This window comes from Homo sapiens, chromosome 2 (genome assembly GCF_000001405.40).
Source record: "Homo sapiens chromosome 2, GRCh38.p14 Primary Assembly".
Lineage (NCBI taxonomy): Eukaryota > Metazoa > Chordata > Mammalia > Primates > Hominidae > Homo > Homo sapiens.
The window spans coordinates 231,368,008-231,380,621 of record NC_000002.12 but is presented as its reverse complement, the minus strand read 5'-3'; the positions used below and the strand labels follow the sequence as shown (position 1 = coordinate 231,380,621).

Here is a 12,614-nt window from a genome sequence, read left to right as displayed (position 1 = left end):
GGTTATAAACCTTTGGATTGCTAGCGACACCCAACCTGAAGCATCTTTTTTATTTTAAAGGCAGGGATTTATTGGCTCAGATAAGCTGAGCGGGGCCGGGTATTGCTGGAAACAACCAGATTCCACCGGGCGATCGGCCCCTCTGCCTCTTCCTGAATAGCGGCTCTCACTCTCCTCCTGTACCATGGCTTCCTCCAGAGATGGAGGCCCAGCCACCGGCAGCTCTCATCTCAGCTTTGTCTTTGAAAGGGAAAGTGGGGGGTCCCATCTGCTCCCGACCAGGGCAGTCGGGCAGTTCCCATGTGGACCACATGGCAAGAGTAGGGAGGGGAGGCCTCTGCCTGGAGGGAGGCCTGCTCAACCCTCACCCTGGCCAGGCAGTGCCGCAGCTGCTGATGGCTCTGGGATCCCAGGCCACACCAGGGGATCCCCACGGACGGGCTCAGCAGAGCACCAGGATGCCCTGAAGCCCAAGTTCCAGGTGTTGTGTGATGCCACTCTCCACCCACCCTCTCCACATCACGGCCTCGGCCTTGGTGGCCTCTGGAAGCGCCATTGTTGATCGTGGCCCCCCTTACTGGCTCTAGTCGGCCTGACTCATGGACTGATTCTCCTTGAGATCTTTGTATTGACAATGGCCACTCCCTCCATTCTTCCTCTCAGCCACGGGAACAACAAACATCCAGTTGCCTGGGCCTCGGCCTCACCCCAGAGGATGGCCTCACCCTGCCTGACTCTGCTTCCTTTCCTAGGATGGGGGTTATTGGTCCTGGGGTCTCCTAGTACCCCAGCAGCCTTGCCCACTCACGTGCACGCATGCGGCACAGTAATAGCCGTGAGTCAGAGAGCGAGGTCTCCTCCCTGTCACTATTTCCAGGGTCTCTGGGGGAGGGAGGTTTCACAAAATCTGAAACTTCTCTCCTCTTTGGCCTGGTTTTTGCATTTTTCCACCTGACCACTACTTCATGCCCTTTTTGGAGTCTTGGCTGCTGCTGGGGTCTCCCAGGGATGCTGATTCCCCGTCCCTGCCTCCCTCCCCCTCCCCCAGCCTCCCCTGTCTCTGCGGCAGCCTCCTGGGCCTTGTCCAGGGTGCTCAGCGCACAGCAGCCGCCTCCTTGCTGGTTTGCCACACAGCCCCAGGGTAGTCATCCCAACAGGGCCCAGGTGGGATGCCCGAGGCCAGGGAGGGCCATTGGCCTATCCTCAGACCCTGGGGCCAAGGGCCTCCCTGGAGGCTGTGCACACATGCTTTTTTCTCTCTGTCGCCTGGGCTGGGGTGCAGTGGCACAATCTCGGCTCACTGCAACCTCCACTTCCTGGGTTCAAGCAATTCTCCTGCCTCAAGCCTCCTAAGTAGCTGGGATTACAGGCGCATGCCACCATGCCCGGCTAATTTTTGTATTTTTGATAGAGACAGGGTTTCACCATGTTGGCCAGGCTGGTCTTGAATTCCTGACCTCGTGATCCGCCCACCTCGGCCTTCCAAAGTGCTGGGATTACAGGCGTGAGCCACCGTGCCCGGCCAGCTGTGCACACATTCTAATCATGCTGTTCCCCTTTGAGGCGCTGAAAGACTGGCCTTCGGCTGGGCTTGGTGGCACGTGCCTTTAATTCTAGCACTTTGGGAGGCCTCACAGGAGGATCAATTAAGGATAGCCTGGGCAACATAGCAAGACTGTCTCAAAAAAAAAAAAAAAAAAAAAGACTGGCATTTGGCTGAGAATGGCAATGGTAATGGCGTCCCAAATCCAGGCCCCAGCCCTTCAGCCCCACTCTTCTTGCCTTTGGCCGAGGTACTTTATCCAGCCTCTACCCCACCTTCCCTCAGTAAACCCAGGGTCCCTGGTCCTGCCCCTCAGGGCCTATAAGCCACTGGGACCCTCTGCCTGGCTTCTCCCTTGAAGACGGTGCTGCCTGAGTTGAGGCCTGACTTGGCATAACTTGGAAACTTGCTGGTCAGAGGGTGGCACCCTGTATGCCCCTCCCTTCCAGCCTGGTCAGTGATCCCTACTCCAGGCTGTTTGAGACCCAGGCCACACTATCATGTATCCAGTGAACTCTTCCCCCGCCGGGAACTGGTGACTCATCACTGAAGACTTGTGACAAAGAGCAGCTCCACACCTGTGCACACTTGGGGCAGGCGTGTTTCCAGAGGCCCAGAGGGACAGCGAGAGCGTGAGCAGCAACACTGTGCCAAGCAGGAAGGTGTCCAAGTGACACCCAGGACAACTGGAAGAAGCCCTCGGTGATCACAGAAATGGGGAGAGGCTCTGAGCCAGATGCTGGAAGGTGAGCTGACACAAGTGCTTTGGGCCAGTGCGATCCCTGAGGACCTGTAGAAAGAGATTTGGGCAGAGTCAGCCGCTACCTCTCCATCGTGCATGCCACACCCTTGGCTTTGCTATTTCAGGGATGCACACTGCCTTGCTTCCTCTAACTCTCCCTGACATAGTTCCTGATCCACCCAACATCCTGCCTCTGAGGCTGCACCGTCTTGCACGGCTTCTGCCAGTGGAGTGCTGGTAAACATTTAATAACCGGCTCTTGGGGGTGGGGGCTAAAGCTCTGGTTTGTGGTGCTTGCCAATTTCTGTGGTGTAAATACCCCCACCATGGCCAGTTTCAAGCTACCAAAATGATGTCACTGAACACAGAGCTGGGAAGAGATGTCCAGCAGCCTTTGTTAATTCTGTCATATTTCCACCATACAGATGCAACAGATGTGAATAACCTCCAGGACTGAGGACAGTGGATGCAGGAAAATCCTTAGGAAAGGATGTTTTGAGTATTTATTCCCTTTGTTCTTAATAGAATTTATTTTACTGTAAGTTTATATAACTTAAGTTTTGGTAATGGCTATGTTTAAAAGCAGCTCATAGAATTCCCCCAAACTGGGCCGGGCGCGGTGGCTCATGCCTGTAATCCCAGCACTTTGGAAGGCCAAGGTGGGCGGATTATCTGAGGTCAGGAGTTCGAGACCAGCCTGACGAACATGGTGAAACCTCGTCTCTCCTAAAAATCCAAAAATTAGCCAGGCATGGTGGCACGTGCCTGTAATCCCAGCTACTTGGGAGCCTGAGGCAGGAGAACTGCTTGAACCCGGGAGGCGGAGCTTGCAGTGAGCCGAGATCGCACCATTGCACTCCAGCCTGGGCAACAGAGCGAGACTCTGTCCTAAAAAAAAAAAAAAAAAGAATTCCCCCCAAACTTAGGAATCAGCTCTGTGAGCTGTCCCAAACTGGCCACACACCACTGCCTCCTGCCCAGGGGCCAGAGGAGAGCCTGGTGGACTCCTTGCTCCCCAGCACCCCTCAAGATCACAACTTTGAGGCCTTTGCTCCAGCCTCCCTTCTTAGAGCTCATGCCACCACTTCCCTGTCTTCTCTGGGTCTCCCCTCTGACCTCAATGCCTTTGGCATCCAGCTCACCGCCTTGACGGGCACTGGTGCAGGCTGACCTCTGGCCAGTGCTCTAAGGAAACTGCTCTCAAGCTGGCCTTAGCCTGTTATCTTCTTCCCCACCTCCTCTATAGCCCGACCATGGTGACCGCCCTCCATCCCCTGCTTTCCTCCCTGGGTTCCAGAGCTTGCATCCTTAGTCCTCCCCCTGCATTCCAAGTCCTCCTCCCTGCATCCCTAGTCCTCCTCCTCCTCCTTCCTTGAAACTCCTGCACCTGCCTATCGGGGAACCTGCCCCAGTAATCACATAGGTTCTTTTCTATTTTTCCTAAGCGTCGGCCGGCTTGAGAAATAAAGGGACAGAGTACAAAAGAGAGAAATTGTAAAGCTGGGTGTCCGGGGGAGACATCACACGTTGGTAGGATCCGTGATGCCCCACAAGCCACAAAAACCAGCAAGTTTTTATTAGGGATTTTCAAAAGGGGAGGGAGTGTGCGAATAGGTGTGGGTGACAGACATCAAGTACTTAACAGGGTAATAGAATATCACAAGGCAAGTGGAGGCAGGGCGAGATCACAGGACCACAGGACCAAGGCAAAATTAAAATTGCTAATGAAGTTTTGGGCACCATTGTCATTGATAACATCTTATCAGGAGACAGGGTTTGAGAGCAACCGGTCTGACCAAAATTTATTAGGCGGGAATTTCCTCCTCCTAATAAGCCTGGGAGCGCTATGGGAGACTGGAGTTTATTTCATCTCTGCAGCCTCGACCATAAGAGACGACCACGCCCCCGGGGGAGGGGGGCCAGTTCAGAGACCCACCCCCAGGTGTGCATTCTCTTTCTCAGGGGATGTTCCATGCTGAGAAAAAGAATTCAGCGATATTTCTCCCATTTGCTTTTGAAAGAAGAGAAATATGGCTCTGTTCCGCCCGACTCACCAGTGGTCAGAGTTTAAGGTTATCTCTCTTATTCCCTGAACAATTGCTGTTACCCTGTTCTTTTTTCAAGGTGCTCAGATTTCATATTGCGCAAACACACATGCTGTACAATTTGTGCAGTTAATGCAATTATTACAGGGTCCTGAGGCAACATACATCCCCCTCAGCTGACAGGATTAAGAGATTAAAGTAAAGACAGGCATAGGAAATCACAAGGGTATTGACTGGGGAAGTGATAAGTGTCCATGAAATATTCACAACTTATGTTTAGAGACTGTAGTAAAGACAGGCATAAGAAATTACAAAAGTATTAATTTGGGGGAACTAATAAATGTCCATGAAATCATCACAATCCACGTTCTTCTGTCATGGCTTCAGCCAGTCCCTCCGTTTGGGGTCCCTGACTTCCCACAACACCTGCTGTCTTCTTTCTCACCCCCGGGTTCTGTCCCCAGTTTCCTATTTCTCTAGTCCCCCTTCTGAGATCCCATCCACCCCCAGGCTTTAGTAGACACCTTAAGATGACGACTCTGGATAGGGCTCTGTAGCCCTGACTTTTTGCTAATTTTGCAACCATTTCCTAGAAACCTGCCTGATGTTTCAACCTGGGGCTGGTGCTCCGGCCTGGACCATGCCATCCGAAAAGGCCAGAAATTCTCCCTAGAAGATGGATGGCAACTTGAAAGCCAGTGGGACCATGTCTCCACATCTGACACACTGCAGCCCCAAAGAATATATTTGTTCAATTGAATCTAAATGGAGAGGGTATACCACAATGGAAAAACAGCCCTAAAAGATTTGGTCCTGCAAAGCTCTGAACAGCATCTATGTGGTAGCTTGCAGCAGTATTGCCTCTGGTTCATTCGGGGTCCCTGTATCCACATCCTTTCACACAGACTTGGGCCTTGGCCATGTGGTCTGCTTTGGACAATGGGAGAATAGTGAACGTGATATGAGACTTGGGCTTGATTTCTCTAACTGCCATGGGAGCCCCGAGGCCACCATGTGAACAAGCCTAAGCCAGAGGAGAACCAAGGGCTCAGCCAACAGCCAACTACCAGACATGAGCGAAGCCCCTGACTGCCCTCTGACCATAAGACATAGTTGAGTTCAGCCAAGCCCAGCAGAAGAATCGCCTGTCCGTGCCCAGCCCCCATCACTGATCCAAATCATTATAAAGCTAATACATTTGTTGGTTTAAGCCACTAAGTTTCAGAGGTAGTTTGTTAATATGCAAAAGCTAACCTAATCACTTCTTAGAACAGCACACCCCAAATAGTATCTGGAGAGATAAAGCTAGGCAAACAGGCACACCACCAGCCCCAGGCTGTGCTATCAGGCACTGTGGGAGGGACAGGAGGATCCCCCAGATTCTAGGCCAGGAGAGAGGGGTGAGGTATTCACCTTGCATACAAAATTTAAAGGGCTACCCCAAAACTCAGTAATGAAGACACATGATGTAATATTTTAATGTAATATTTAAAAAAAATCAAATTGGTATCTCTGGTCCACGTCCCAGCTGCCTATTTTGTAAATACAGTTTTATTAAAACTGGGGCTGGGATTAGGGTTAGACAAGCCAGGTGGGGTCATCCAAGTACAGGGCCAGACTTGTTTTTATTAAAAAGTTTGATATTTTATCATGGATTTCTTTTCTTTACCTTTTCTTTCTTTTCTTTTTTTTTCATGAACCTTATTTGTTCAACTATTTTATTTTTATTTTTATTTTATTATTTTTTTTTTAGCTCTTTTGATTTGGGCCAAATCTTTCCTCACCTATTGACTAATCTCTGGCATCTCACTGGATCTCAAACCTCCACCTGCCTATTAAAGTCCCCACCACAGGTCCTAATTTAAGCTCTTGCCAGACAGTTCCACCTTGCTGTGAATGCAGAAATGAGATCAAGTCCCACTCAGAAGAAACCAGAAGATGTGAGGTAACCAGAGGGGCGGCTCAGCCTCCAGGGCAGAGGAGCCATAATCTACCTGGGGCCTTACCATTTTCCAGAAGGTCCAAAGATCCCTCTCTGTGGCTTCCTTGGTAGTTTTCAAGGGCAAACCTTAGGCGCCATCTGCTTGGATCTCCATCTGGAGATCTGGCCTTTAAACAGGTTTACTTGTGTTTTAGATTCTTTCCCCTTAGACTGGGGTCATACCCATCCTCAGCAAGCTCATTGGAGCTGGTAGATAGTTGGAATATTTGTGAATAAGTTGTTGGTATTTTACAAAGTATATTTCTAGCTGTCAGCCTTGGAATGCAGAGGCGTGAGCCCAGGAGTGTACTCTCCCAGGGCGTGGCGCAGAGGCCTGGGTGATATTTTCAGCACTTTCCTGGAAGAACCACACATACCCCACCTGGTAATCTCAATGTATTTTTTTTTTTTTTTTGACGGAGTCTCTGTCGCCCAGGCTGGAGTGCAGGGGCGTGATCTTGGCTCACTGCATCTTCCATCTCCCGGTTCAAGCTATTCTTGTGCCTCAGCCTCCTTGAGTAGCTGAGATTACAGGCACCCACCACCACATCCAGCTAATTTTTTGTATTTTAGTAGAGACGGGGTTTCGCCATGTTGGCCAGGCTGGTCTCGAACTCCTGGAGGCCTCAAGTGATCCATCCGCCTCGGCCTCCCAAAGCACTGGGATTACAGGTGTGAGCCACTGTGCCCGGCCTAATCTCAGTGTATTTTGACCCTAAGTTGGATACTCCCCACTTCTCTAAAAGACTATCTTTTCTTCTCCTCAAACCATCAGACATCTACAGATCAGACTTTAGCTCTTTGGTAGGCTTGAGGGAAAAGTAGTGGTTGACTTCAGACGAGGGAGACACTGACCTGACCCCGATGATTCTCCCACCCCCGCTGGACTTCTGCTGCTCCCACACCAAGGGCGGGAAAGGCTGTGCCAGCCAGTGGCATCTGAGGAATCCGTAGGGGAGTGGACTTCTTGTGGGGAGCAAGAGAGATTTTTCCATTCCACTCCTTTGCTGTTTGTCTGCAACCACTCTACACCTTTTCAAAGTCTCACCACGGAGGAGTTGCATTTTGCGGACCCTCTGCTTTTCCTCTGTCTGCACCACTGACACCAGGGGCGAGCTTTGTGTTTGCTCCCAATGCCTCCGGGTCAAGTGAGGAGTTCAGAGAGGGCCTGGTGGCTGACAGGTCAGGACGGCAGCCTTCTTCCCTGAGCACAGAGTGGACACATTTCCAGAGAACCAAGAGGTGGCCACCAGGCCAGTCACATGACAGCATCTAATGTGCCCAGCCTGGAGCCGCTGCCAAGAATTCACGAGATGAACCAGGGTCCCGGCCCTGGATGAGCTTCTGGTCATCTCATGGGTAACCTGGCCTCCTGTTTACCTCCTCTGCCTGCGCTCCTGAGGAGTCAGGGGGCCATGGAAAAATCCAGCGCTTAGCCTTTATTTACGACCATTGGGACCAGAGATGTCCCCATTGAAGGGTCTGTGGGCAGATCAGGTGCCTGGGGGAGGGCACGCGACTTTTCTCTGCTTTCCATTTCCCTTCATACACTCATACACACACACACACACACACACACACACACACACACACACACACACACACACACACCACTAAATACTGATGGGTTTTATTTGATTTTAGAGCTTGGGTAACATCCAGGACACCTGTGACTTGCTGGTCCTGAAGGCAAACATCCTTCCTCTGTCCTAAGACTGGATTCTGATGACAGCCCTGGTGAGGGGCGTGCGCAGGCCTCCCCCGCGGGATGGGTCACTTTGCTGGTAGAGCTGTTTATGTTTATGGTCCCAGTGCAGGGAGGGAGGCAGAGGGTGCTCCCTGGTCACACTGGTGGCCTTTTTAAGGCCTTCAAAAAACGTGTGCAGAAGAGCAGAGCTTTGAAGAGGCTGGAACACACCATATTCTCAGAATTTTTTTTTTGGGGACGGAGTCTCGCTCTGTCACCCAGGCTAGAGTGCAGTGGCACGATCTCGGCTCACTGCAAGCTCCGCCTCCCGGGTTCACGCCATTCTCCTGCCTCAGCCTCCAGAGTAGCTGGGACTACAAGCGCCCGCCACCACGCCCGGCTAATTTTTTTGTATTTTTTTAGTAGAGACGGGGTTTCACCACGTTAGCCAGGATGGTCTCGATCTCCTGACCTCGTGATCTGCCCGCCTCAGCCTTCCAAAGTCCTGGAATTACAGGCGTGAGCCACCGCACCTGGCCTTCTTTCTCAGATTTTAACACAGGAAGAAAACACCAACTTTGCTGCTGAGACGCAGGCTTGAGAATAAAATGAGCTTCACCCTGAGTTCCTTCTGGGTCCTGGTAGTCAGCCCAAGTGAGGAGGGCTGGCTTCAGCAGCCTTGGAAAAGCCCTGCTCCAGGCTGGCCCTACACTGTCGCCCTGTTGGGGCCTGGAGGGCCAGGGCTGCAAATCCAGCACCTGCTGTTTCTGGGGCCAGAAGATCTCCTGCGGGCAAAAGCCACCCCTCTCCTCTGTGTGTGAAGGGTGAGCAGGAAATTCCCCTCTCCAGGAGGGCAATGCCAGGCTCTCCCCAGCCCTCCTTGGTGGCTCTGCCCTGGGAGAAAGTGACCCGGCTGGCGGGGCTGCGATGGCCTTGCTCTGGTGCTGCCTGGAGAGCCGGCCTCCCCTCAGCTCCCAGAGTCTTGTGGACAACTGTCCCTTCACATCCATCACCGGCAGCTGCTGCCAGCTGAGAGCGGGAAGCTGGCTGGTCCTCCGGCAACGTGATGGGGACACCCGGGGACATCCTTACTTCCTGTGAGACTGGCTGCCTGGAGAGAAAAGCCAGAGCAAGATGCCAGTGCTGTGTGGTCTCCGCACAGAATCCCCTCTGTCCCACTCAGTCCCTCTTTCAGCCGGCTCAGAAGCGAGGGAACCTTCCCTCTCCCAGGTCACCTGTTCTGTGGCCTGGGCTCGACTGGCGGGCCGGCTCTTTCCTCACAGGAAGCAGGCTGCTTGGTGCGGGTCACTCAGTCAGCTTTGCTGGCAACAGCTCACGTGTTTGTTGAGCCCACAGGACACACAACGCCCATGGCTGGCTGAGCTGTCCACACCGTGGCCACGCTATGCTGCTAGATGTGGGGCCAGGCCAGCCACCAGCTGCTGGTGTCACTGTTGCTATGACTGGGGATCCCTGCCCCAGTGGCACCTTCCTCCTGGCCGAGCCTCCCCTGGATTTGCTGCACCTCCTCTGCGCCTGACCTGGGCTGCGACTGGCTGGGCTGGGGTTTTGGGTGTGTTTCCCAGTGGGAAGTGGGAGGGGTCCCAACCTGGCTCCCCAGCCATGGCCATTACCCCCACTTCCAACCCAGCGTGTCCCCAGCTGACCAGAGCGCCCAGGGCCTGGCCAGGAAGGTAGTAGGGTGGGGCGGGCTGGGGGCGGCCAAAGAAATGCGCATATCCTAAGCGGGACTCCTTTCGTCCTGCCTGGCCTTTTGTTCTGTCCTTTTGTTTTCCCTGTGTTTTGGTAAAGCCCTCTAGAAAGGTTCAGCTCAGTTGGGGCGTGGAGGTGGAGGGGCTATCAATTGGCAGAGGCTGGAAGGGGACAGAGAAAGACAAAGAAGTGGTCCTTACAGTGAGCCTCAGGTGAGAGGGTGAGAGAGAGGCCCCAGGGAGAGAGTGGGGGCCCTTGGGCCCATCCCATCTTCAGGCCCTTCTGGCGGCCCCTCCATCCAGCCTGCGAGCAGACACCCGCTTCTGTTTGACCTGGGGGTGGCCTGACCGAGGCTGGGCCAGGCAGGGACACAGTGGCTGAACCAGGGGCTGGACCACCTCCCACCAGGGCAGGTCCGAGTTTCAGGGCCAACCCCGGGGCAGCAGGGCCAGCTCAGGGCCAACTCTGTGAGCTCCACAGAGGGAAGTGGGGAGGGGCTTCTCTCTCAGTGACCTGCCTGGAGGTCTCACTCCTCAGCTTGAGTTTGAGTCACTGAGGCCAAAGGGAATTTAATAGGAAGGAAGATTCATGCAGAACCGGTCCCTGGAGGAAAGGAAGCCACCTGCTGGGGCCTGGTTGTGTGGGGAAGGGAAGCAGGCCTTCTGCCCTTCTGGCCTGGCCTGGTACACACAGGAGCACGGGGCCAAATATAGCAGCAAAATGCCCTTCCCTGCAGGTTGGCGGGTGGCCAGGCTCCCACGCCAGTGGGGCCCAGGCTGACTTACTCGGCAGGCCCCTTGTGGAGGACGCTGTGGAGCCGGGGCGGCTGGCCTGCTGGGGGCCACACGAAGAGAACAGAGGGGCCAGAACTGACGCCTTTGCCTTGGGTGGGTTCCAGTCCAGCATCTCTGGAGTGCAGGGGGCCCGGGGCTTGCAGGTGAAGGCTGATGCACATTCCCTAGAACAAAACGTGCAACCTGGAGTCCCAGCTACTACAGCATTAGAAACCACAGGAGGGGCCGGGTGTGGTGGCTCCCGCCTATAATCCCAGCACTCTGAGAGGCCAAGGCGGACAAATCACCTGAAGTCAGGAGTTAGAGACCAGCCTGGCCAACATGGTGAAGCCCCGTCACTACTAAAAATTCAAAAATTAGCCGGGCGCGGTGGCGGGCACCTGTAATTCCAGCTCCTCAGGAGGCTGAGGCAGGAGAACCGCTTGAACCTGGGAGGAGGTTGCAGTGAGCCAAGACGGCACTGTTGCACTCCAGCCTGGGCGACAAGAGCAAAATTCTGTCTCAAAAAAAAAAAAAAAGAAACTGGCTGAGCATGGTGGCTCACGCCTGTAATCCAACACTTTGGGAGGCCGAGGCGGGCGGATCACCTGAGGTCAGGAGTTCGAGACCAGCCTGACCAATATGGTGAGACCCCCGTCTCTACTAAAAATACAAAAATTACCCAGGCATGGTGGCAGATGCCTGTAGTCCCAGCTAGTCAGGAGGCTGAGACAGGAGAATTGCTTGAACCTGGGAGGCAGAGGCTGCAGTGGGACAAGATCACGCCACTGCACTCCAGCCTGGGTGACAGAGTGAGACTCTGTCTCAAAAAAATAAAATAAAAAAAAAGAAAAAAAAGAAAGCACAGGAGGAAGGAGACGATGGGCATAAGGTGGGGAAATGCAGGCACCCATGGGCAAGAATCCCCATGCCATGGAGCCTTGGGTCCAGCCCCACCGCTCTCCAGATGGTGATTGCACGGGAGTTCCCTGACACCTTGGGAGCCTCAGTTTCCCTGCCTGTAAAATGTCTAAGGAACAGCTGTGAGAATTCAGTGAGGACATATCCTGGGCCCAGTTGTTAGCACCCCTTAGATGGAAGTATAGTTCTGGGAAGTAGGACTTGGGAGGAGACTGTGGGATTCTTTTGGTTTGATTTGTTTCTATATGCCTTTTTTTACATTGATAACATATCACTTTAATAATTAGAAAAATAGGCCGGGCGCGGTGGCTCATGCCTGTAATCCCAGCACTTTGGGAGGCCAAAGTGGGCAGATCACAAGGTCAGGAGTTCGCGACCAGCCTGGCCGGCATGGTGAAAACCCATCTCTACTAAAAATACAAAAAATTAGCGGGGCATGGTGGTATGTGCCTGTAATCCCAGCTACTTGGGAGGCTAGGCAGGAAGATCACTTGTGCCTGGGAGGTCAAGGCTGCAGTGAGCTTTGTTCACGCCAGGGCCCTCCAGCTTGGGCAACAAAGTGTGACCCTGTCTCAAAAAATAAAATTTTTGTATCACTCATAACACTATTCCCCCAAATATTTTCCATATTCTACCTTTTGCCTATGTGACATTGTTGCTTACTTGTGGGTACAGTTACAGGCTCCTGTTACCACTCTGCTTTTATGAGTCTCATCCCACCCTCTCCACACATCCATGCAGCCTGTCGTTAGCATTTACAAGAGTTGGGTATTATTTCTTCTGATTGATATACTCGGATTTAATAAATGGATGTTCTCCTTTTCTTTCATTCATTGATCAAGCTCACGCGTGCTGAGAATTCTGCTAGGGGCTGGGGATCAGAGATCAGGATGCATTTCCTGATGGGATGAGTTCACAGATACGCGGGGCTATCTGACCAGGGAACTGGGTTGTAAAATCATTACATGAAAGCTTTGCTGATGCTTTTTTCACACATACAAAGGAGCTTTGTACGTGGTCTAGTGAGGTGGTTTCTTTCTTTTTTAAACTGATAAATAATTGTACATATTTATGGGGTACAGTGTGATATTCTGATGCAGGTATAACGTGTGTAACCATCAAATGAGGTGTTTTAAAATTATTTGGTTCAAATTTTTATGTTTTACTATTCATATTTTGATATTTTGTGTCATTATTATAATAGTTAAC

General features: G+C 52.5%; 1 protein-coding gene across 2 annotated transcripts in view, besides 5 other annotated features; it reads right to left on the bottom strand.

Annotated features, from left to right (window-relative positions):
- ARMC9 (armadillo repeat containing 9) overlaps positions 3,774 to 12,614 on the bottom strand; it is a 178,218-nt gene continuing 169,377 nt past the window's right edge. For both annotated transcript variants that reach the window (NM_001271466.4, NM_001352754.2), the window contains exons 24-25: positions 10,497 to 10,669; positions 3,774 to 9,109 (exon numbers count right to left, since the gene is read on the bottom strand). In NM_001271466.4, coding sequence (NP_001258395.2) covers positions 9,087 to 9,109; positions 10,497 to 10,669 — 196 coding nt within the window. In that variant the 3' untranslated portion in view covers positions 3,774 to 9,086. The remainder of the gene's footprint in view (positions 9,110 to 10,496; positions 10,670 to 12,614) is intronic.
- Positions 3,870 to 4,433: an enhancer, noted in NCBI's record as "OCT4-NANOG hESC enhancer chr2:232240900-232241463 (GRCh37/hg19 assembly coordinates)". NCBI's record gives its function as "activates a minimal SCP1, AML or CMV promoter by ChIP-STARR-seq in naive H9 embryonic stem cells {active_cell/tissue: H9 hESC(naive)}" and the evidence as "EXISTENCE:reporter gene assay evidence [ECO:0000049][PMID:30033119]".
- Positions 8,989 to 9,636: an enhancer, noted in NCBI's record as "NANOG-H3K27ac-H3K4me1 hESC enhancer chr2:232235697-232236344 (GRCh37/hg19 assembly coordinates)". NCBI's record gives its function as "activates a minimal SCP1, AML or CMV promoter by ChIP-STARR-seq in naive H9 embryonic stem cells {active_cell/tissue: H9 hESC(naive)}" and the evidence as "EXISTENCE:reporter gene assay evidence [ECO:0000049][PMID:30033119]".
- Positions 9,637 to 10,283: an enhancer, noted in NCBI's record as "NANOG-H3K27ac-H3K4me1 hESC enhancer chr2:232235050-232235696 (GRCh37/hg19 assembly coordinates)". NCBI's record gives its function as "activates a minimal SCP1, AML or CMV promoter by ChIP-STARR-seq in naive H9 embryonic stem cells {active_cell/tissue: H9 hESC(naive)}" and the evidence as "EXISTENCE:reporter gene assay evidence [ECO:0000049][PMID:30033119]".
- Positions 10,284 to 10,931: an enhancer, noted in NCBI's record as "NANOG-H3K27ac-H3K4me1 hESC enhancer chr2:232234402-232235049 (GRCh37/hg19 assembly coordinates)". NCBI's record gives its function as "activates a minimal SCP1, AML or CMV promoter by ChIP-STARR-seq in naive H9 embryonic stem cells {active_cell/tissue: H9 hESC(naive)}" and the evidence as "EXISTENCE:reporter gene assay evidence [ECO:0000049][PMID:30033119]".
- Positions 10,932 to 11,578: an enhancer, noted in NCBI's record as "H3K27ac-H3K4me1 hESC enhancer chr2:232233755-232234401 (GRCh37/hg19 assembly coordinates)". NCBI's record gives its function as "activates a minimal SCP1, AML or CMV promoter by ChIP-STARR-seq in naive H9 embryonic stem cells {active_cell/tissue: H9 hESC(naive)}" and the evidence as "EXISTENCE:reporter gene assay evidence [ECO:0000049][PMID:30033119]".